Source organism: Homo sapiens, chromosome X (assembly GCF_000001405.40).
Source record: "Homo sapiens chromosome X, GRCh38.p14 Primary Assembly".
Taxonomy (NCBI): Eukaryota; Metazoa; Chordata; class Mammalia; order Primates; family Hominidae; genus Homo; species Homo sapiens.
The window spans coordinates 129,934,123-129,955,956 of NC_000023.11; the positions used below are offsets into that span (position 1 = coordinate 129,934,123).

Sequence of the window (21,834 nt, forward strand, 5' to 3'; positions counted from 1 at the left end):
TCTAGTACTAGGAATACTTTGCAGGGAGCCAGAAACTCGACTTTAACTCCAGTTTGCAACTGGAGCTGGGAGGCAGAAAGTAGCCAGGTTTTTCTCAGTGTGAAGCAAACTGTCCCGTGTAAGGATCAAACCTGTAGTTCTTCATCCATTACCCCAAGGTCGACCTGAAGCCCGATCTGTCAGAAGAGGGAGGCTGCAAACAAACTGGACCTGAGGTCAACAGCACTTACCCCAGGGGCCGGGGGGTGGGGGGTGGACAGTGGAAGCACTCCTTCCTCCCATTTACGGATGCAAGATTCACCCTGTACTTTGCAGCTCATTTGTAACCTGGTCGCTTTAGAGTTGGTCCAGCTCCCTGCCCACCTCACACCTCCACCCCCAGCCAGACGGGTCCTCTCTGTCCTTCCTCAGCCCTACACTGTCTTCGCCCAAGTCAGCCTGCTCTAAATGGACAAGGTCAGTGATCCAAGCAGAAACTGAAATAGTAACAATCGGACAGTGTCAAGAGACTCCGGCAGAGATGCCTCGGAGCGCCCGGCCTCCTCCTCTGCCTTGGCACAGATGTTCTTATTGTCCTGGAAAGAAATACCAAATTCCCTCCCCAAGCGTGAAGCGAGGATACTCTGGGACTTAGCCTCCAAGGACAGAGTCGCCTTCCCAGCCCAGTTCCCCTGCCCCCTAATCAGACTGAGATAGTCACCATCCCTCTTCCCCATCCTAGCCAAGACTTCTCCCCCTCACCAAGGAGATTATGGGGAGTGGGGCTGGAGCTGCATGAGAAGATTGCTAAACTGTTCTACAGTCCTCTTTAGGGACTGTTAGCACATCAAAATACATATTTGGAAAATGCTCACAATTAACACTGGGAGAAAAACAGTAAACACAGTGTCACTTTGCCAGGCTCAACAGTTTTGTTTTGTTTTGTTTAAATGCTAATGGCCTCAAATGGGGAGCAGCATCCATCAGTTAAATAAACAAGCCATTAGACTGAGACTAGAAGTGTCAACACATGACTAATCTACTAATTGGGAGAAGGCATGGTGTAGTGAGGAGCAAGGCAGCAAAGCATGCTGGAGGCTGTGGAGTGGACTTGCTTACACGCAGAAGCACGTGGGGTTGGAGCCAACGAGACCTGAGTTTGAGTCCTGCCTCGATCAGTTGTCAGCTGTGTGGCCTTCAGTGAGTTATTTCATTTTCCTGAGCCGCTGTTTCACATTCTGTGAAATAGGGACATTAATAGTACCTACACCACAGGGTTGTTATAGGAATGAACTGAGATAATACAAGTTCTTGGTGCGATGTAGGAGCCTGCCACATCGTAAGTGTTTGATGTCTGTTGGCTGTTATTGATCATAATAAAATACCTTGTGTACAGTAGACTCAAAAAATAGATAAAAAAATGACTTGTGGTCGCTAGATATTAGCAATAAAATGGTGAACATGGTCTCTAGACCCCCTACCAAAAACAACTGGCAAAGGGGATGCTTTTGGTGGGTTAATTCCAACTTCTTCAGGCCATCCCTTTAACCTGGAATTCACTCCAGCTCTTAAGGATGGACTGTCCTGCCTGAGGGTTGCTGGGCTCTGGGGTCTGCTCTCCTGGCACCTGCCTAAGAGGCCTGGGTTAAGCTAGCCCTCCCAGGTGGGGACCAGCCAGGTACAATGCTGAGCATCCTTCCACAGCCAGCCAGGCCCATTCTGGCAGAGTACTGCAGGCTGTTCTTGGTTGCCCTCCTTCCTGTTGTGGTGATCACAATATTGAGAGGGGCCAGACTGTGGAAGAAGGGAAGCAGGGAGAGGCACACAGGACTCCCAGGAGAAATAACTGTGACCTAGACGAAGTCCTTGGTCTTTGCTGCCTTGCCCCACCTTCTTTGAAGCCCCATGTCCTCCCAGTCACCTGCTAAGAAGGCCTGTTTTCAACCAAATGGAGTCTTCCTCTTCACTTGCCAGCCCTACACTCCTTCATGGACAGTCTCCTAGCCCTCTCCTTTCCTCCCTTCCTGTTCCAGGAGAGTGGTTCTCTCTCTCTGAAAGGTTGGTAAGTTTAGAGAATTCCTTCTGTGCAAGTAAGGAGTTGAGCTGACAGTGGCTTAACATGCCACCCCTTCCCAGGTCTTGTAATTGCATATGAGCCTCCTCAACTTGAAAAAAATCCTTAAGGTGCCTGGAAAGGAATGAAAACAGGTATCAGGGCCAGGCGCAGTGGCTCACACCTGTAATCCCAGCACTGTGGGAGGCCGAGGCGGGTGATCACCTGAGGTCAGGAGTTCGAGACCAGCCTGGCCAACATGGTGAAACCCCGTCTCTACTAAAAATACAAAAATTAGCCGGGTGTGGTGGTGCACACCTGTAATCCCAGCTACTCGGGAGGCTGAGGCAGGAGACTCTCTTGAACCTAGGAGGCAGAGGTTGCAGTGAGTCGAGATTATTCCACTGCACTCCAGCCTGGGCAAAAGAGCAAGACTCCATCACAAAAAAAAAAAAAAAAAAAAAAAAAAAAAAAAAGAAAAGAAAGAAAGAAAAAAGAAAAACAAGAAAAGAAAACAGGTATCAGGGGACTTGTGGCCCTTTGACAGGCTGAGGTGGCATGGGGAGGAGAAAAGTTTTACTCTTCAGGGTCCATCATGTCCTGTTTTGTCTCCTTATTCTGCCCTGAACTTGAGGCCCTGAACAGCCCCACACCAACCCCAAGAGGCACCCTCCTGTACAGTTCTACACCTGGAGCAACCCCTCCCCAGCAACCAGATGGGTTCTCAGACTCCATTCTTCACCCTCATCTCCCAGTTGAGCCCTGAAGTAGGCCCCCTCCTGGCTCTGCACTTAACTAGCAAATAGCAGGTTAGCCTGATCAATTAAGCCCTCTCCACAACTGTCTGTGGAGTGCTAAAGGGTTAATGTATTTTCCCTCCTGCCACACCCACCTGAACTGCAGCTCTCAAAGCACACTATCGCAGTTCTGTTCCAGAGTCTGTGCTGTTGGCAATTGCTTTGTTGAGCCTGGACCACTGCAACCAGGACACCCACCCTGTCACCTGCAAATCAAACTCTCTTCCTCAAAGGACCACTTGACCTGTCTCTGCCTCGGAGAAGCTGCCAATAGTGCCCCAGGTGAAGCCATGTTCCCCTTTCCTATGGGTTCACACACTATGTCCCTCTTTGAGGGCCCCCTTGCACATTCCACCTGGCATAAAAATTAGTTGCTGACTTATTTATCTCCCACGGGACAAAAGTAACCTTCTCCAAGCCAAGAAGTGCTTCTTAGAGGCCAAGAGTGCTTCTGTTTCTTTGTAGTTTTTGTTTGTTTCCAATCTGCACAAATAAGTGGATTGTAACAGGAACTCCCATCACCTAGATTCCACAGCTGCTAAGATTTTGCTACATTTGTTTCCACTTCATGTTTGTATTCCACTTCCACCAAAACAGTGCCTAACACTGCCTTGAACAGCACTTTGAATAAAGAAGCCAGGACTCTGGGAAATGGTGGGAATTCAGGTTTGCAGAACAGCCTCCTAGGAGTGGCATGGGATGGGGAAGTGGGTAACGAATATAAAAAGTTGTCCATGCCTGAGTACCTATTATGAGCCAGGTGCTTTACAGGCCATCTCATTTCACCCTCACAACTTTATGGAGTAGGTACTGTTATTATCCCAATTTTATAGAGAAAGAAATGAGGTTCAGAGAAGGAAAGGGACCTCCCTAGGTCACCCAGATAGGCAATGGCACAGCTGGGATTTAAATCCAAGCCCTGCGCCCTTCTCACTGTGCCCTGCAGCTTGCCTCAAAGGGTGCCAAACAGGCTGCCACCTGATCTGCTTCTATTTCACAGTGTACATGACATGCTTTGTGCATGCTTTGAAGAGTACTGTGCACACATACACACACATGCACACCTGTGCAGTGACCTACGTGGTCACACACTGATTTTTGTCCATGGGATGTCTCCTGGGTGGGGGGGTGGGGATGAACCCAGGAGTTGAGGGAAGAGGGCAAACACCTCCCCCACATCTGCGAAGGCCATGCTCTCAAAGGGGAAACAAAGTTTTTCTTCTTGCTCCCACCAGTGCAGTACATTCTCTTCAGATCTCCAGAATGACCTTGCAACCCGGACTCCTCTTCAGCACTCCTCTTCAGCCACTAGTCTGCTCCCTGCCTCCCGCTGTCTGCTTCCTGCCTCCCGCAACAGACATTGCTCTTTGCAGCCTTTGTTCTTTTGCACCACCAGCACCCCCCCACCAACTCCCAACATGAATTCATGATGTTCCTCCAGCCTGGGATGCCCTTCCCACCACTCTCTATACCTACATTCTCCAAGTCAAGGTTCAAATCTCACCCCCTTCCAGAAGCCTTCCCTGATCCTGCCCACCTTCCAACCTTTTGATGTGGTCTGACTTTTTTTTCACCTGAATATTGATGCTCTGCTCTCTCTCTCCTTGTTATCTAGTTGTTTCTTGTAAGCTGTTTCCTTGACCACACTGTAAGCCCCTTGAGCTCACAGTTTCAGCTACAGAAAAATAAAGGAAAGTCTTTCAGGAAAGACATGTGGTCGGCTGCCTTTTTCTTCCCATGGTCCTCTTGTGTCCTCCATGCTACCTCTTGGGTTTCTGTCTTTGCTGCCACTGGCAGCACTGTCTTTTCTACAAAGACCAGGAGGTAAAAAGGAGATTCACATGTTTATCTTGATTGCTCCTTTTTATTTTTCCATTCTTGTCTTTCATTTGCCCAGGTGAGCTGAGGGCTAACTGGGGTCTGAACAGCCTTAAAACACCCTGAAGCTATTCTGTTTTTTCTAGTCTAAGCATTTATGGGAGGGGAAACAAAATCTATTAGGGCTGGGCGAGATGTCTCATGCCGATATTCCCAGCACTTTGGGAGACCGAGGCAGGTGGATCACTTGAGGTCAGGAGTTCGAGACCAGCCTGGCCAACATGGTGAAATCCCGTCTCTACTAAAAATACAATAATGACCCAGGCATGGTGGCGGGTGCCTGTAATCCCAGCTACTTGGGGGGCTGAGGCATGAGAATCTCTTGAATCCAGGAGGCGGAGGTTGCAGTGAACTGAGATGGCGCCACTGCACTCCAGCCTGGGCAAGAATGAGACTCCGTCAGGAATGGAAAAAAAAAAAAAAAAACCCTACCAAAATGGATTTGGCTCGTTAATGCCTGCAGCACCACCTCCTACTTTTCTCCCCTTTATCTACTTCACCTCCTCCTCCTCTTCTCCCCCACCCCACACTCCCCTGCCCAAAAATCCACAAGCACATATGCACTTACAGCTAGAAAGAGACAACCCATCTTCCAGATTTCAGGAACTTCAAACAGAGAAGTGTTGGATAAAGACGCAGAGACAGGGCCACCTCATGCCACCAAAGGAGATATTATTTCCATTTGGCAAAATGCTGGGCATTGAGGAGTTACCCTAATATCTGAACAGAGACAATAGGGATAAGAGTTCCCTACCAGGCCAGGCAGGATTGAGAAAGGCAAGGGTTGAGCCACACACCACCCCCTCCACCCTGCCGCCCCACTGGAAGTTTAAGCTGGAGGTGAGTAGGAGCAGTGTCCCAGCCTGAGGGTAAAGAAGCCAAAATTGAATTATAGCTCTTAGTGGTACCTGTACTCCCCAGCTGGGGCTGAAAGTAGAGAGAATTCAAGCATGTTGTACCTGATTCTATCTTATGCATTCTCACACATTCTCCTCCCACTCCACAGCCCAACATGGCAGGAGCAGGAAGGCTATTGCTGCTCCATTGCACAGATAGGGGAACTGAGGCACTGAGGGATGATATAACTGGTTCTATTTTCTCACAGGAAGGGAAATTCCTTTCCAGTTTTACAGACCTCCTTATCCCTGGGGGAGCCCCATCACCTCAGCTGGAGTTCCCAGCACTGAGGAGTTGTGACAGAGTTTCCAGGAATGGAGGTAAAGATGGAATGGTCTGTTCTTTTCTGTCCCTCCAATTCCTTTAACCAGACATCATGGGTCGCATCTTTTCCCTCCTTTTCCCTCGATCTTTTCTGGCGCTCCTCCAGCAGCTCTCTCAACACTCTCCACCCCTGGGCCCCGCCCCTACTTCCCAAAAGGCTTTCAAGAACTGCCTTTGGCTGGGCTGCTCCTGTCCTTCAGCTAACTCGGGGAACGGGAAAAGTCTTCTGGCCAGGCCTTTCTGATCAGCAGGCTGAGGGCTCTGAATATCCACGCAAACTGGCAAGAGAGGTTTTCTAGACTCTCCGCAACTTCCAATGCTGCCCCTGAGCATCTTCCACTGGAGTTCTGGACCTGCCCTTGCCTTCTGGTTAAAAAGAGCTTGCCTGCCTGCCTATAAGAAAGTGTCATCCTTGACCCTTGAAGGGAGGAGATTGTATTGATTCACCCATATTCCACCCCACATCCCTTTCAACAACATAGATTTGCATGATGGGGGTAAGTGGGTGGAGAAACAGCTGACTGCAACATGGATCGGGATTCAGACCCTGGCCAGGGTTAGGGAGATTGGTCTGTGTATAAAGTTGAGTCCATTGTGACCTGGATTAAGATGAGATTCAGGACTAGGATTAGAAATCGGGGAAATTGGCTAGGGGCAGCAGTTCATACCTGTAATCCCAACACTTTGGGAGCCCAAGGTGGGAGGATCGCTTGAGGCCAAAAGTTCAAGACCAACCTGGACAATATAGTGAAACCCTATCTCTAAGACAAACACACACACACACACACACACAGTCAAGGAATTTATCTCTTCTTGAGGCATCCTATTCAAGAGTATCTAGTAATGGTCTCTGTCAGGAAGTGGGTTTCACTGGGATCCTTTGTTCTATGAAGCAGTGAAAAGGAGTCAGCCCCAGGGGCTTGACTTCTGATTCTGACTCTGACACTAATTTTCTGGCATCAAGCAAGTTACTTCAGCTCTCTGATCCTCGGTTTCCTCATCTAAACAATGGGGGAATCAGTCTTTATCTATAAGGTCCTATCTAGTTCTGAAAATATACTACTTTGGGTCTATGGGAATATAATAAAAGCTATTCTATGGTCTCATAGGGTTAAAAATAAGACAATGTAAAAGAAAAGAATCTGGAAAAATGCAAAGTACCGAAGATAAATTAAAGACTATTCTCCTCTATTAAAAATATTATAGGCTGGGTACCGTGACTCTCACTTGTAATCCCAGCACTTTGGGAGGCCAAGGCAGGAGAATGGCTTGAGCTCAGGAGTTTAAGACCAGCCTAGGTAACATAGTGAGACCTTGTCTCTACTTACTATCTATCTATCTATCTATCTATCTATCTATCTATCTATCTATCTATCATCTATCTGTGTGTGTGTGTGTGTGTGTGTGTGTGTGTGTGTGTGTGTATCACATGCTCATTGTAGAAGTTTTTAAAATACTGGAAACTAGAAAGATAATAGACATCACTTGTAGCCGGGCACAATGGCTTATGCCTGTAATCCTAGCACTTTCGGAGGCCAAGGTGGGCAGATTGCCTGAGCTCAGAAGTTCGAGACCAGCCATGGTGAAACCCATCTTTACTAAAACACAAAAAATTAGCCGGGGCCAGGCCCGGTTGCTCACGCCTGTAATCCCAGTACTTTGGGAGGCGGAGGCAGGCAGAACACTTGAGGCCAGGAGTTCGAGATCAGCCTGGCCAATATGGCGAAACCCCGTCTCTACTAAAAATACAAAAATTAGCCAGGCGTGGTGGCGCACACCTGTAATCCCAGCTACTTGGGAGGCTGAGGCATGAGAATCACTTGAACCCAGGAGGTGGAGGTTGTAGTGAGCTGGAATCATGCCACTGCACTCCAGCCTGAGCGACAGAGCAAGACTCTGTCTCAAAAAAAAAAAAAAAAAAAAAAAAAAAAAGAAGGCCGGGTGCAGTGGCTCATGCCTGTAATCCTAGCACTTTGGGAGGCTGAGGTGGGTGGATCACCTGAGGTCAGGAATTTGAGACCAGCCTGGCCAACATGGTGAAACTCTGTCTCTACTAAAAATAAAAATTAGCTGGGCATGGTGGCATGTGCCTGTAATCCCAGCTACTTGGGAGGCTGAGGCAGGAGAATTGTTTGAACCTGGGAGATGGAGGTTGCAGTGAGCGAAGATTGCGCCATTGCACTCCAGCCCAGGCAACAGTGTAAGACTCGTCTAGAAAATAAAAAAAAAAAAAATTAGCTGGGCGTGGCAGTGCACACCTGTAGTTCCAGCTACTCAGGAGGCTGGGGCACAAGAATTGCTTGAACCAGGGAGGTGGAGGTTGCAGTGAGCCAAGATGGCACCACTGCACTCCAGCCTGGGCGACAGAGCAAGACTCCGTTCCCCCAACCCCCGAAAAATTCACTTGTAATCCTACCACATAGAGTGTAGCACCATTAACATTCCAGTATTTTATTTATATTTACTACATATTTTAGATAAAAATGAAATCATGCTGTAACTGTTTTGTAACCTGCGTTTTTCATATAAAATGTACGTTGCATTTTTCAATGTCATTAAATATCCTTTGAAAACATGATTTTTAAGGGCCTCATGTGTTCCATTCAATGAATGTGCTGTAATTTATTTACCCAACCTTTTGTTGGGTATTTAGATTGTTTACCCTTTTCCTGTTATTATAAATATAATATCTCGTTAGCATCCTTTGTGCATATTTGATTTTAGGAACAACCGGATCAAGAGGTGATGATGCATATTAAAATTTTATAATGGAAAATTTCAAACACATACGAAAGTAAAATAGTATAACAGCCCTGATTTTGTTTCACCTACATTCCCACCCATGTCCCTCTGCCAATGGATTATTTTTTATTTTTTAAGCAAATACTGGATATCAGATAATTTGGGCATGCATATTTTTAACAAGTATAACCCCATTATATAAAATTCCAGAAAAGGCAAATGAAACTATAGTGACAGAAAGAAGATCAATGGTTGTCTGTCTGGGGACAGAGGTGGAGGAAGAGATGAATTATAAAGGGGCATGAGCAAAGTCTTGGGGGTGATGGATATGTTTTGTATCTTGATTGTGCCAGTGATTTCATGAGTGGGTACACCTGTCAAAACTCTTTGAATTGTATGATTTAAGTGGACTCAGCTAATTGCAGCTATATTATCCCGCAATATAGCTGATTTTTTTTATTTTTATTTTATATATATATATTTGTGTTTTGTTTTGTTTTTGTTTTTGTTTTTGTTTTTGAGACGGAGTCTCACTCTGTCACCCAGGCTGGAGTGCAATGGCGTCATCTCACCTCACTGCAACCTCTGCCTCCCAGATTCAAGCAATTCTCCTGTCTCAGCCTCCCGAGTAGCTGGGATTACAGGCATGAGACACCACATCCAGCCTTTTAAAATTTATTTTAATAATACTTGGCCGGATGTGGTGGCTCATGCCTGTAATCCCAACACTTTGGGAGGCTGAGGCTGGCAGATCATCTGAGGTCAGGAGTTTGAGACCAGCCTGGCCAACATGGTGAAACCCTGTCTCCGCCAAAAATACAAAAAATTAGCCAGGCGTGGTGGTGCACACCTGTAGTCCCAGCTACTCGGGAGGCTGAGACAGGAGAATTGCTTGAACCCAGGAGGCAGAGGTTGCAGTGAGCCGAGATGGCACCGTTGCACTCCAGCCTGGGTGACACAGCAAGACTCTGTCTCAAAAATAAATAAATAAAATAATAAATAAACAAGTAAGTATATATGTATTTTTTCCAACTTGAAGGGTAAAAAAATGATATGTAGATATCTCAGTATTTGAATTTGTGCTTCTTTATTAATACTGAATGTTTTTCCTAGTTTAGTTTATTGGCCATTAATATTTCTTGTTTTGAGAATTGCCAATTCATATCCTTTGCCTAGTTTTCTAATGAGGTGTTTAGGTGTTTATCTTTTTCTTGTGGATTTGTAAGACTTCCTTTTTTTTTTTTTTTTTTTTTTTGAGACAGAGTCTCGCTCTGTCACCCAGGCTGGAGTTCAGTGGCGCAATCTCGGCTCACTGCAACCTCCACCTCCCGGGTTCACGCCATTCTCCTGCCTCAGCCTCCCAAGTAGCTGGGACTACAGGCACCCGCCACCACACCCGGCTAATTTTTGTATTTTTAGTAGAGACGGAGTTTCACCATGTTAGCCAGGATGGTCTCATCTCCTGACCTCGTGATCCACCCACCTCAGCCTCCCAAAGTGCTGGGATTACAGGCGTGAGCCACCGCGCCCAGCCAAGACTTCTTTATATATCAATGATACTAAAACTCTGTCACACATAGCAAACACTCCTTGCCAGTTGGCCTTCTAATTTTGCTTGTGGAGTTATTATTTTTAAAATAAGAAGTTTTACATAGCCAAATCTATTCATCATGTCCTTTATTGTTCCTTATTTTACCTTTATGCCTAGAAAGACTTTCCCTATTCCCAGGATCAGAAGGACATTCACCTGTTTTCATCTAAATTGTTTATGGTTTCATTTCTGGCCGTTCTTGTTGTAAGACTGGATCTCACTCTGTCACTCAGGCTGGAGCGCAGTGATGTAATCATAGCTCACTGCAGTCTTGACCTCCAGGGCTCAAGTGATCTTCCCACCTCAACCTCCCAAGTAGCTGGGACTATAGGCTCCCAAGTAGCTTGGATTACAGGTAGACACTACCACGCCTAGGTAATTTTTTTTCTTTTATTTTTTGTAGAGACAGGATCTTGATATGTTGCCCAGGCTCGTCTTGATCTCCTGGCCTCAAACAATCCTCCCACCTTGGCCTCCCAAAGCATTGGGATCACAGGTGTGAGCCACCATGCCTGGCCTATTTTTGGCCATTCTTGATCCCTCTGGAGCATAGTGGATAAGCATCTCACTCTGGAGTGAGATGGAGCTAGGGCCAAATCTCAGCTCCATCCCGTACACACTAGCTGTGTGACCAAAGGCATCTTCAACTTCCTTGTCTATAAGATGGGGATAATAATAGTTTCCAACTTACAGGTTTGTTTTAATGATTAAAGGAAATAGTATTTGTAGAGCACTTGGCCAGGGACCTATCAAAGCTAGTGCTCAAGAAACATCCTTGAGTGTAACTGGCATTTTTGGTTTTGGTTACTTAGTATCCAAACACCCTGATGATTCGAAACAAATTCCAAGAAACATGGAAGGCAGATATCCCTCTCCCTCTCCACTGGCAATTAGGTAGTGGGGCTGTGACTCAGGGTCTGCCAGCCAGATGCTATCTCTCCCTCTGGACTTCAGAACTTGAGCAATACTGTACTGCAGGGAAGAGCAGCATTTTTTTCTGAATGTCTCAGCAGCCAGGCCCCCAGAAGAGCAGTGACAAGTCTCTGGAGGGGCCCATGCCATCACAGATGACATCCTAAACAAGCCAGGCCTGTGGGATGATCCTGACTCTGCCTGCCTTCCTTGGTTCCTACCCTTTTCCTGAGGTTAGTTTTTCACACTTCGAGTCACAGTGAGATTCCCCATAGCCTTCCAGCAAACTCCTTCTCAGCTTATGGTAGACTAAGGGTCTGTAGTTTACAACCAAGAACCTAACTAGGCTCCTCTGGGATTTACTTGGGCCAAGGGCATGAAGTGTTAACTTTTTTTTTTTTTTTGAGACAGAGTCTTGCTCTGTCACCCAGGCTGGAGTGCAGTGGCACAATCTTGGCTCACTGCAACCTCCCCTTCCCGGGTTCAAGCCATCCTCCTGGCTCAGCCTCCCGAGTATCTGGGACTACAGGCGTGCACCACCACGCCTGGCTAATTTTGTATGTTTAGTAGAGACGTGTTTCTCCATGTTGGTCAGGCTGGTCTCAAACTCACGACCTCAAGTGATCCACCTGCCTTGGCCTCCCAAAGCGCTGGGATTACAGGCATGAGCCACTGCACCTGGCGGTGTTAACTTTTTTTCTCCAAATCAGATATCCCCAAACCACTGGTTAAGTAATGCAGTATTTTTCCACTGACTTGAAAAGGGTTACTTTTCCATTAAACGAGCTCTTGTCCTTGGGACTGTCCTGTTGACTAGAATCCCATGCCTCTCCTAGAACCCCAGTAGGGTTTCTATTCCCTTCTCCACAAGGAAAGTCTCATGTTCTAGAACTCCTGGCTGCCTGCTTGGTAGTGAACCCTCTGGATATCTAAAGAGTCCTTGTCGGCTGGGCGTGGTGGCTCACGCCTGTAATCCCAGCACTTTGGGAGGCTGAGGCAGGTGGATCACGAGGTCAGGAGATCGAGACCATCCTGGCTAGCACCGTGAAACCCCGTCTCTACTAAAAATAGAAAAATCAGCCGGGCATGGTGGCAGGTGCCTGTAATTCCAGCTACTCAGGAGGCTGAGGCAGGAGAATGGCGTGAACCTGGGAGGCGGAGCTTGCAGTGAGCCGAGATTGCGCCACTGCACTCCAGCCTGGGCGACAGAGAGAGACTCTGTCTCAAAACAAAAAAAGGCCTTGTCTTGGCCAGGCACGGTGGCTCACGCCTGTAATCCCAGCACTTTGGGAGGCCGAGGCGGGTGGATCACGAGGTCAAGAGATCGAGACCATCTGGCCAACATGGTGAAACTCCGTCTCTACTAAAAATACAAAAATTAGCTGGGCGTGCTGGCGCGCCCCTGTAGTCCCAGCTACTCAGGAGGCTGAGGCAGGAGAATCGCTTGAACCCGGGAGGTGGAGGTTGCAGTGAGCCGAGATCAGGCCACTGCACTCCAGCCTGGCAACAGAGTGAGACTCCGTCTCAAAAAAAAAAAAAAAAAAAAAAAAAAAAGAGTCCTTGTCTTGAAGCTGGAGGGCTGCATTCAGGAGCATGTCTGCTGAGCTTCAGGCTTTCCCATAGCAAGCTATCTATTTGACAGTTCCAGCCCCAGTTGGGAGAACCTCAAAGGCATAAAAGGGGTTGACCTAGCCGGGCCTGGTGGCTTATGCCTGTAATCCCAGCACTCTGGGAGGCCAAGGTGGGAGGACCGCTTGAGGCCAGGAGTTCAGGACCAGCCTGGGCAACAGAGCGAGACCCCCATCTCTACAAAAAAAATACAAAAAATTAGCTGGGCATGGTGGCATGCACCTGTAGTCCCAGCTACTTGGGAGGCTGAGGTGAGAGGATCACTTGACCCGGGAGGTAGAGGCTGCAGTCAGCAGAGATCACGCCACTGTACTCCAGCCTGGGTGGCAGAGCAAGACTGTACTAAACAGACAAGAGAAGTTGATTTCAAAAAAAAGAAATGAGCCGGGTGCGGTGGCTCACGCCTGTAATCCCAGCGCTTTGGGAGGCCGAGGCGGGTGGATCACCTGAGGTCAGGAGCTCGAGACCAGCCTGGCCAACATGGTGAAACCCTGTTGCTACCAAAAATACAAAAATTAGCTGGGCGTGGTGGCAGGCACTATTCCCAGCTACTCAGGAGGCTGAGGCAGGAGAATCACTTGAACCCAGGAGGCAGAGGTTGCAGTGAACCAAGATCGTGCTACTGCACTCCAGCCTGGGCGACAAGAGCAAAACTCCATAAAAAAAAAAGAAAGAAGAAAAGAAAGAAAAAAGAAAAGGGGCCCAAGTAAAGCACTAACTCCCACCCCATCCCCTCACTGGCTCCCTATTATGTAATTCTCATTCTCACCAACACCAGGAGAGAAGAGCATCTAGGAAGACTCCTCCAGACATGGGAGCTTGATCTGGCTCTCCTGAGGCCTGCTGACGGCTACAGTGCTCACCCCTTGGTCTACTTTTATTTCCCCTGTGATCTACTTTTTGGGTGCCGTCAAAACTGAGTTTGCAGAGCAGTGCCATCTCTGGTTGGAAGGGTGAAAACAGGACTGGCCTCCAAGGAATCCTTGAGGAAGCCCCCAGCCTAGGCTCAGGGGGCAGTCTAGGGAGTGAGGAGAGGCAAAGATGGCCAGGGGAAAGAGGAGAGAGTCCGCTGAGGCAAGAGTCAGATTGAGTTACAACATGGTCTGAGGATGTTTTGGCTGCCACTAAGCATAAAGGCAGACATCTGTGGAAATGCCTCAGTGAAACTACGGATCCCAATAAATGTCTCAGGAAATAATTGGATCTGAATGTGGGGGATGGGGAACAGGTGGTTCCACCTCAGAGTCAAGAGTATTGCTGGGTGGTCAAGGGTAGAGGACAAAGGAGACAGTAGGCTTGGGAGCTTTTAAAAAGCAACAGGAATCTACACAATGGGCTATTATGTGGCCACTAAACTGATGTTTACAAATACCTTTTTTAATAACATGAGGAAATTCTTGTTATAATTTTAAGTTTTAAAAAAGGCAAGCTATAAAAGTGTGTATTGAGTTACATCACAAACTATGTGGAAAAATATGCATTTTAAAAAAATACTGGAAGGAAATGCACCAAAATGTTAACAGCAGTTGTCTCTGGATGATAGTTATGTTACAGTATACCTGCAAAATAGTAAGGACTTATTAAGTCCCAGGTTCTGTTTGTCATTCTACTTACATAAATTATCACCGTGGACTGGGCACGGTGGCTCATGCCTGCAATCCCAGCACTTTGGGAGGCTGAGGCGGGCAGATCACCTGAGGTCAGGAGTTCGAGACAAGCCTGGCCAACATGGTGAAACCCCGTCTCTACTAAAAATACAAAAATTAGCCGGGCATCGTGGCATGCACCTGTAATCCTAGCTACTCGGGAGGCTGAGGCAGGAGAATCGCTTGAAACGGAGGTTGCAGTGAGCTGAGATGGCGCCATTGCACTCTAGCCTGGGCGGCAAGAGCAAAACTCCATCTCAAATAAATAAATAATCACCATGTCTTTGCATAATGACCCAGTGAGGCAACTACTCCCACTCCCACTTTATAGGTGAGACTCCCAGAGACTAACATGCTAAAATACACAAAGCTCAGAAATGGCCTTATTAAAATTATCAATTAAAAATTATTTTTATGGGCCAGGCGCAATGGCTCACGCCTCTAATCCCAGCACTTTGGGAGGCCGAGGTGGGTGGATCACTTGAGGTCAGGAGTTCAAGACCAGCCTGGCCAACATGGTAAAACCCTGTCTCTACTAAAAATACAAAAATTAGCTGGGCATGGTGGCGTGCACCTGTAGTCCCAGCTACTCGGGAGGCTGAGGCAGGAGAATCGCTTGAACCTGGGAGGCAGAGGTTGCAGTGAGCCAAGATCGTGCCACTGCACTCCAGCCTGGGTGACAGAGTGAGACTGCATCTCAAAAACAAATTAGTTTTTGTAATCCCAGTACCTTGAGAGGCTGAAGTGGGCAGATTGCTTGAGCACAGGAGTTTGAGACCAGCCTGGGCAACATGGTGAAACCCTGTCTCTATAAAAAATACAAAAAAATTAGCCGGGTATGGTGGCGTGTGCCTGTTGTGGTCCCAAATACTTGGGAGGCTGAGGTGGGAGGATCACCTGAACCCAGGAGGTTGAGGCTGCAGTGAGCCATGATAGTGCCACTGCACTCCAGCCTGGGCAATAGAACAAGACCCTGTCTCAAAAAGAAATTATTGCCGGGCATGGTGCCTCACACCTGTAATCCCAACACTTTGGGAGGCTGAGGCCAGCGGGTCCCTTGAGCTCAGGAGTTTGAGACCAGCGTGGGCAACAAAGCGAAACCCCGTCTCTACTAAGAATACAAAAATCAGCTGGGTGTGGTGGCAGCCACCTGTGGTCCCAGCTACTCAGGAGGCTGAGGTGGGAGGATCGAATGAACCCAGGAGGCGGAGGTTGCAGTGAGCTGAGATCGCACCACTGCACTCCAGCCTTGGCAACAGAGTGAGACCTTGTCTCAATAAAATAAATATTTGTTTTCTTCTCTCTGTCTTCTAAACTTTTGATAATGAGCATCTGCTTTTTGCCTTTTCCCAACAGTCCCTTTCCTCATCTAATTAATCCTTGGATTAAGAATAAAAGGAAGCATTCTCTCTTGCTCCTTAGAATTTGTGATCTCTTTCTCAGTAAAGCCCAGAGCCCCTGGTGGGGAGGCACTCTGTCCCCAGTCCTGAGCACAGAGGGGCACACAGTGATGTTGAATAGATGTTTATAGAATAAAGGACTGAATGAAGGAATAAATGAGTAACAGTCACAAAAAGGTTGATCGTGATGACGCTACTGGCTTGTATACACAAGGTGTTTGGTGAGGGAACAGTTTTTCACTACAACGTTGAGAAGGGTGCCCTTAGATCTACAGCCTTCCTACAAGACTTTGGTCCCCTTGCCCTGGGCTCCCAGCCAGCAATTTCTCAAGTGATATCCCTAGCCTTTGGGACCCCACGTTCTGGGCTGCCACCCAGTGGGCTTGTAGCCATGTCCTTCTCCCCACTGAAATACCCCTGTGTTTGTCAGGCCCCAATTCCTAGTGCAGCCCAGTGGTAGCCAGAGTGGACAGTGGTCTAAGCTCAGGGAGATGATGCTGGATTCCCAGGGCCCTTGGGAAGCCCCCTGTGGCGAACAGGGAGTTGACTGAATTTTGCAAACTAAAAAGAATAACATGACCAGGTGCAAGTGGCTCACGATGCCTATAATCCTAGCACTTTGGGAGGCCGAGGCGGGTGGATAGCTTGAGCCCAGGAGTTCGAGACCAGCCTGGGCAACATAACAAACCCCATCTCTACAAAAAAATACAAAAATTAGCCAGGTGTGGTGGTGGGCACCTGTAGTCCTAGCTACTTAGGAAGCTGACGTGGGAGGATCACCTGAGCCTGGGAAGTGGAGGCTACGGTGAGCCGTGTTTGTGCCACTGCACTCCAGCCTGGGTGACAAAGAGAACCTGTCTCAAAAAAAAAAAAAAAAAAAAAGGAATAACAGATAAAGTGATTCACATGATTAAGATGCCAATAGGAAAGAATCAAGATGCCCAAAGAACACCTGACCTGCTCATAGGGACCTGGAATCTGGAGTTGGAATCCCTGACTGGGCTTTCCAACCTGTGATTCCAATTGTGAGCCCACATGTGTGACAAGAGAGAAAGGCAATGCCAAGGCAAACCTCTCAGTGCCCCTGGACCATACTTACTTAGAGTGGGTGGCTACCTCCTATCCTTGTGGGGCAGGGGGACAGGGGACAGGATACTGACTTCATTTCCTTCTGGCCCGTGTTTCCTCAATGGAAAAAGCAGGCTGAGGAAAGTTTTCATGGGACTGGTAGCACTTTGGAAAATCATAGCCAATTCCCAGTAATCACCACCAACGATGGGCCAGCAGTAGGGCCTGCAATTAAAGAAAAATAGTAATGTTTACAATCCAATTTGTTTTATTTTAGTTAATTAATGTATTTATTTTTGAGGAAGAGTCTCTCTATGTCGCCCAGGCTGGAGTGCAGTGGCGCAATCTTGGCTCACTGCAACCTCCACCTCCCAGGTTCAAGCGATTCTCCTGCCTCAGCCTCCTGAGTAGCTGGAATTACAGGCACCTGCCACCATGCCCGGCTGATTTTTCTATTTTTAGTAGAGACGAAATTTCACCCTATTGGCCAAGCTGGTCTCAAACTTCTGACGGCACCCGGCCCCAATTTTTGTTGTTGTTGGTGGTGGTGGTGGTTTTTTGTTTGTTTGCTTGTTTAGATGGAGTCTTGCTCTGTCACCCAGGCTGGAGTGCTGGGGCGATCTTGGCTCACTATAGCCTGTGCCTCCCAGGTTCAAGCAATTCTCCTGCCTCAGCCTCCCGACTAACTGGGACTGCAGGTGTGTGTCACCACGCCTGGCTAATTTTTGTATTTTTAGTAGAATCGGAGTTTTGCCAGGCTGGTCTTGAACTCCTGACCTAAGGTGATCCACTCGCCTCGGCCTCCCAAAGTGTTGGGATTACAGGCGTGAGCCACTGCACCCAGCCCCCAGTTTGTTTTAAAACAACAGATTTACCTTTATAATTAAGAACCAGTTCAGGTTCCTGTTAGAAGCGGCCAGCCTTTGTTCCAGTCTTTCTCCCCTGAATAATCCTTCCACCTGCCCCTACGGCCCTTGGGTTCCAGAGCTCTCAGCCTTCAAGGCCTGCCCAAATCCTACTTTCTCCAAGAAGTCTTCTAGTTCCTGTCATTTCTCCTTTCTCCATACTCCCTCTGGCATTTTGCTAGCACAGGGCACAGACCCTTCCACTGTCAGCCTTTTCTGTCTGTCCGTGACCTCCTCTCCCTCTAGAGTAAAAGCTTCCAGAAGGCAGCTCAGCCGTTTGGCCCATCTCAGCAGCTTCTTGGACCTAGTACAGTGGACTCCTCCGCCAGCCTCATTTGTTGTTGCCCAGTGAAACGGACAGAGTGGAATGGGGCCTACCCAGGGCCCCAACTCCCAGAAGGCTTGGAGTGGGGGACTGTAGGGTCCTGGAGATTCCAGATTCCAGAGGCCCTGGGGAAGCCCCCTGTGGATAACAGGGAATTGCTTGTATTTTGCAAGCTAAAAAGGGGTATTAACCAGGCCCAATTACAGCCCCACTGGTCGTTTCAGGAGTGGGGAAGCGTCAAAACTAGCTGCCTGGGCAGAGTGAGATAGCGAGAATAAAGGGCTCCTTCTGCCGGAGGACGGGCTCTCTGGCCCCCATTCGGTCACTGGGTCCCCCAAGTGTGAGGCCAGAGAGTTGAGACTGGGGAAAATAAGGAAAGGGAAGAGGAGAGCCGGGCCGCCCTCCCCTCCTCCCTCCCGCTCTCCTTTCTCTCGCGGTCCACGCTGGCCTCCCTCTTGGGCTCTTTGTCTGTCGGTCTGTCCGTCGGCTTTCTCTCGCGCTGCCTCTCTGCGCGCTCGCTCACTCGCTCGCTCTCTCTCTCTCTCTCTCTCTCTCTCTCTCTCTCTCTCTCTCTCTCTCTCTCTCTGCCTCTTCGGCTCACGTGACCGCTTGCTCTCAACGGCTCCGATCACCTCTTCCTGAGGCAGCACCTTTCGGTTGGTAACAGGAGACACTCGCTTGTTGGGGGCAGGATGGGTTTCCTTCCTCCGCTTTTTCCTCCTGGCCTTCTCGGGCAGTTCCAGCCGCTTCTCTCTGGCGCAGCCTCTGGCCCTCCACCCCTCCAGCCTCTCCCAGCCCCCATAGTGCTCGTTTACTCTCCCCTTCCCCTCCGCACCACCCCCCCACGCCCACCGGGGCCTCCCTCCTCCCCGGCAGCCAGCCCACTTTGGGGAGGGGGCTTCGGCGCAGGGGACAGACAAAAGGGCCTGGACGGACCCGGGGGCACCCCTCTGCAGCTCCCCACAACCACGTGGCCCCTCCCTCCTCGGGCAGCCGGCAGCTTCCCCCTCCCCTGCCCAGCCGGAGGTCTGGGGAGTTCGGGCCCCGAAGCATCCTTCCGGGCCTCGCTGGCGCCAATCGCTCCGCCGCGGGTGCTGAGCCTCCGGGTGCTTCGAATACCAAGGAATGCACCGGGCATGGGTGGGGGACATGCTCCGGGGGCGGAGGCAGCTTTTTCGGTTCCCAGGCTGGAGAACGGCCAGCCAAAGGGAGGAGACTCGGCCCCCGCCGTCGGAAGGTTCCCGGTACAGTGGGGTTGACAAGATCTCCAACCTCAGGGAGCTCCAGGTCTGATAGGAGAGACCCAGTCTCTCTCCCTTTAGCAGTTCAAACTCAACAGTAAGGATGAATCCAAAAGTGGGATGAAGGTGCCCTGCAAAAGCAGAGCTGGCCTATGTATTCGTGAACTTCTGGCTGAACCAGATTGTTTTTGGGCCATGTTGTCCAGCACTTAGCGAGCTGCCCTTCCCATCCTACCAACTCCTGCCACCAAAAGTTGGAATGGAAAGTGAGCTCCTTCCCATTCCATACCGTGGTAAAATTTAAACAAGGCCATTGAAGATGAAGGTTATCCAGTAAATCAGCCAAAACATTCACAAAACATTCTCAAAGCAGCCTCTGTAAATGCACTCTTAGCTAGGGTCTAGAGCCATGGCACTAGCCTGGCCCTAGATACCATGTGTATGCATTTTAGAGTCTTCGGAGGTACTGTTCCCCTGAGTCTCCCCCTCGCCACCCGCTGACCACTTAATACCATTTTAGTCAACAAGGCTAAGTCCCCTCAGGGGATATGCCTGTGGCCAGAGCCACACTTGGTGCACTTTAGGCATAGCCCTGGCCAATCCCAGAACAAAAGACCCAAATGCTGGGAGGGGAGGGGTGACAGAAAGAATTCCATCTCTCCAGTATCTTAGGGAGGGATTTGAGCCGAGAAGGGCCTCAGGCTTGACAGGGACCAGCAGAATAGCACTTGCCTGCAACCAAACCTAGTAAGAATGGCCACCACAACTACTATTTATTGAACCCTCACAAACTGCCAAGTACATAGCACACTAATCCCAATAACAGTCTTATATGGTAGGTACTATTATTATCCCCGTTCAACAGATAAGGCAACTATGGTTCAGAGAAGGTAACTTGAAGAGGTCACACAGCTGGTTAGTGGCAGAGCTGGGTTTGGAATCCAGGTCTGGCCAATGCCCAAGTCCAGCTCTCTAATCACTATACTACCCAACCTCTTTCCCACAAAGAGTGATTCTAAAACTCTCCCAGAAGCAACAGAGACAACTGGGTCAGGGCATGGTCTTGCTGGAAACTGGCTATTTGCCAAAATGTAGAGAGGTCAACAGGCGCCCAAAGTCACCCTGCTGGCTTTGTAAATGCCACAGAGACTCCCACATAAAAGTCCAGACTCCTAGATTCCTAACCTAGAATGCAAAGGAGACATCCTATCTGCCCATCCCCACAGACATCATCCCACTTCCGGTTTCTGTCTTCTGGGTAGCAGTGAGGTTTTCAGGATGCCAGGCTAAGGGTGAGCTTCTTGGAGGCAGTGTTGTGGGGATGGGCTTGATAATGGACCCCCGCTGCCCTACCCCCAGTCCTCCCTGGAGGGAGGACAAATAGGCCCATTGATTTGAAACTCTCCCAGAGGGCATTAGAGTAATGACTCTGGACTGTGTGATGCCTACACCCGCTTTGACCTGCTGACTGACCCCTGCCCTGGGAGGTTCCAAAGGCCACAAATCTCAGTTGCTTGTGGGCCATGTGGTTTGTGGCTGTTTGTAGTATTGGAGGGGAGGGGGAAATGAGGGGGGTAAGATACACTGCTTCTCACTGTGCTGGGCTTCCCAAGAGAACTAGCAAGGGGTGGACAGGGCCCCTTCTAAACACTGCCAAGACACACTGCAACTACTGATACGGGCTCCATCATTTATTTTTGAAAGCAGGAGGGCTCCTGGCTCATTTGCATAAATGTTTGCACTGCCTGCTATATTTTGATTTGGAAGAAGGGCACCAGGGCACAGAATATACATAACAGATTTGTAACTGGGCAGCTTGATCCTGTCCCTGGCCAGGCGAGCCAAAGATGGCCCCTCACCCTTTGTGTCTATTTTTGAAAGCCCCTCTTAAGTGCAAAGCCCAGCACCAAGGATGGGTGGCAATAGAAAGACCTCGCCCTGAATGGGGTGCTTCTAAGCCAGGTGTGTAGGTGGATGGGTAGATAAGGCAGCACTTGACTTGAAAAAGGGATGAACGGGCATGGTGGCTCACACCTGTAATCCCAGCACTTTGGGAGACCTGAGGCATGAGGATCACTTGAGCCTAGGAGCTTGAGACCAGCCTGGGCAACAGAGAGAACTTGTCTCTACAAAAAACATGTTTTTGAGAATTAGCTGGACATGGTGGCGCGCACCTATGGTCCCAGCTACTTATGAGGTTGAGGTGGAGGGATCGCTTGAGCCCAGGAGGTCAAGGCTGCAGTAAGCCATGATCGCTCCAATGCACTGTAGCCTGAGCAACAGAGCAAGAGACCCTGTGGAAAGAAAGAAAGAAAAAGACAAGAAAGGAAAGACAAGAAAGAAAAAAAGGAAAAGAAAGAAAGAAAGAGAGGAGGAAGGAAGGAAAGAAGGAAGGAAGGAGAAAAGAAAATGGCTGGAAGTCTGGATTCCTAATTTCTATCATTCAA

General features: G+C 48.8%; 1 annotated feature.

Moving 5' to 3' along the window:
- Positions 18,726–19,456: an enhancer, noted in NCBI's record as "H3K4me1 hESC enhancer chrX:129086824-129087554 (GRCh37/hg19 assembly coordinates)". NCBI's record gives its function as "activates a minimal SCP1, AML or CMV promoter by ChIP-STARR-seq in primed H9 embryonic stem cells {active_cell/tissue: H9 hESC(primed)}" and the evidence as "EXISTENCE:reporter gene assay evidence [ECO:0000049][PMID:30033119]".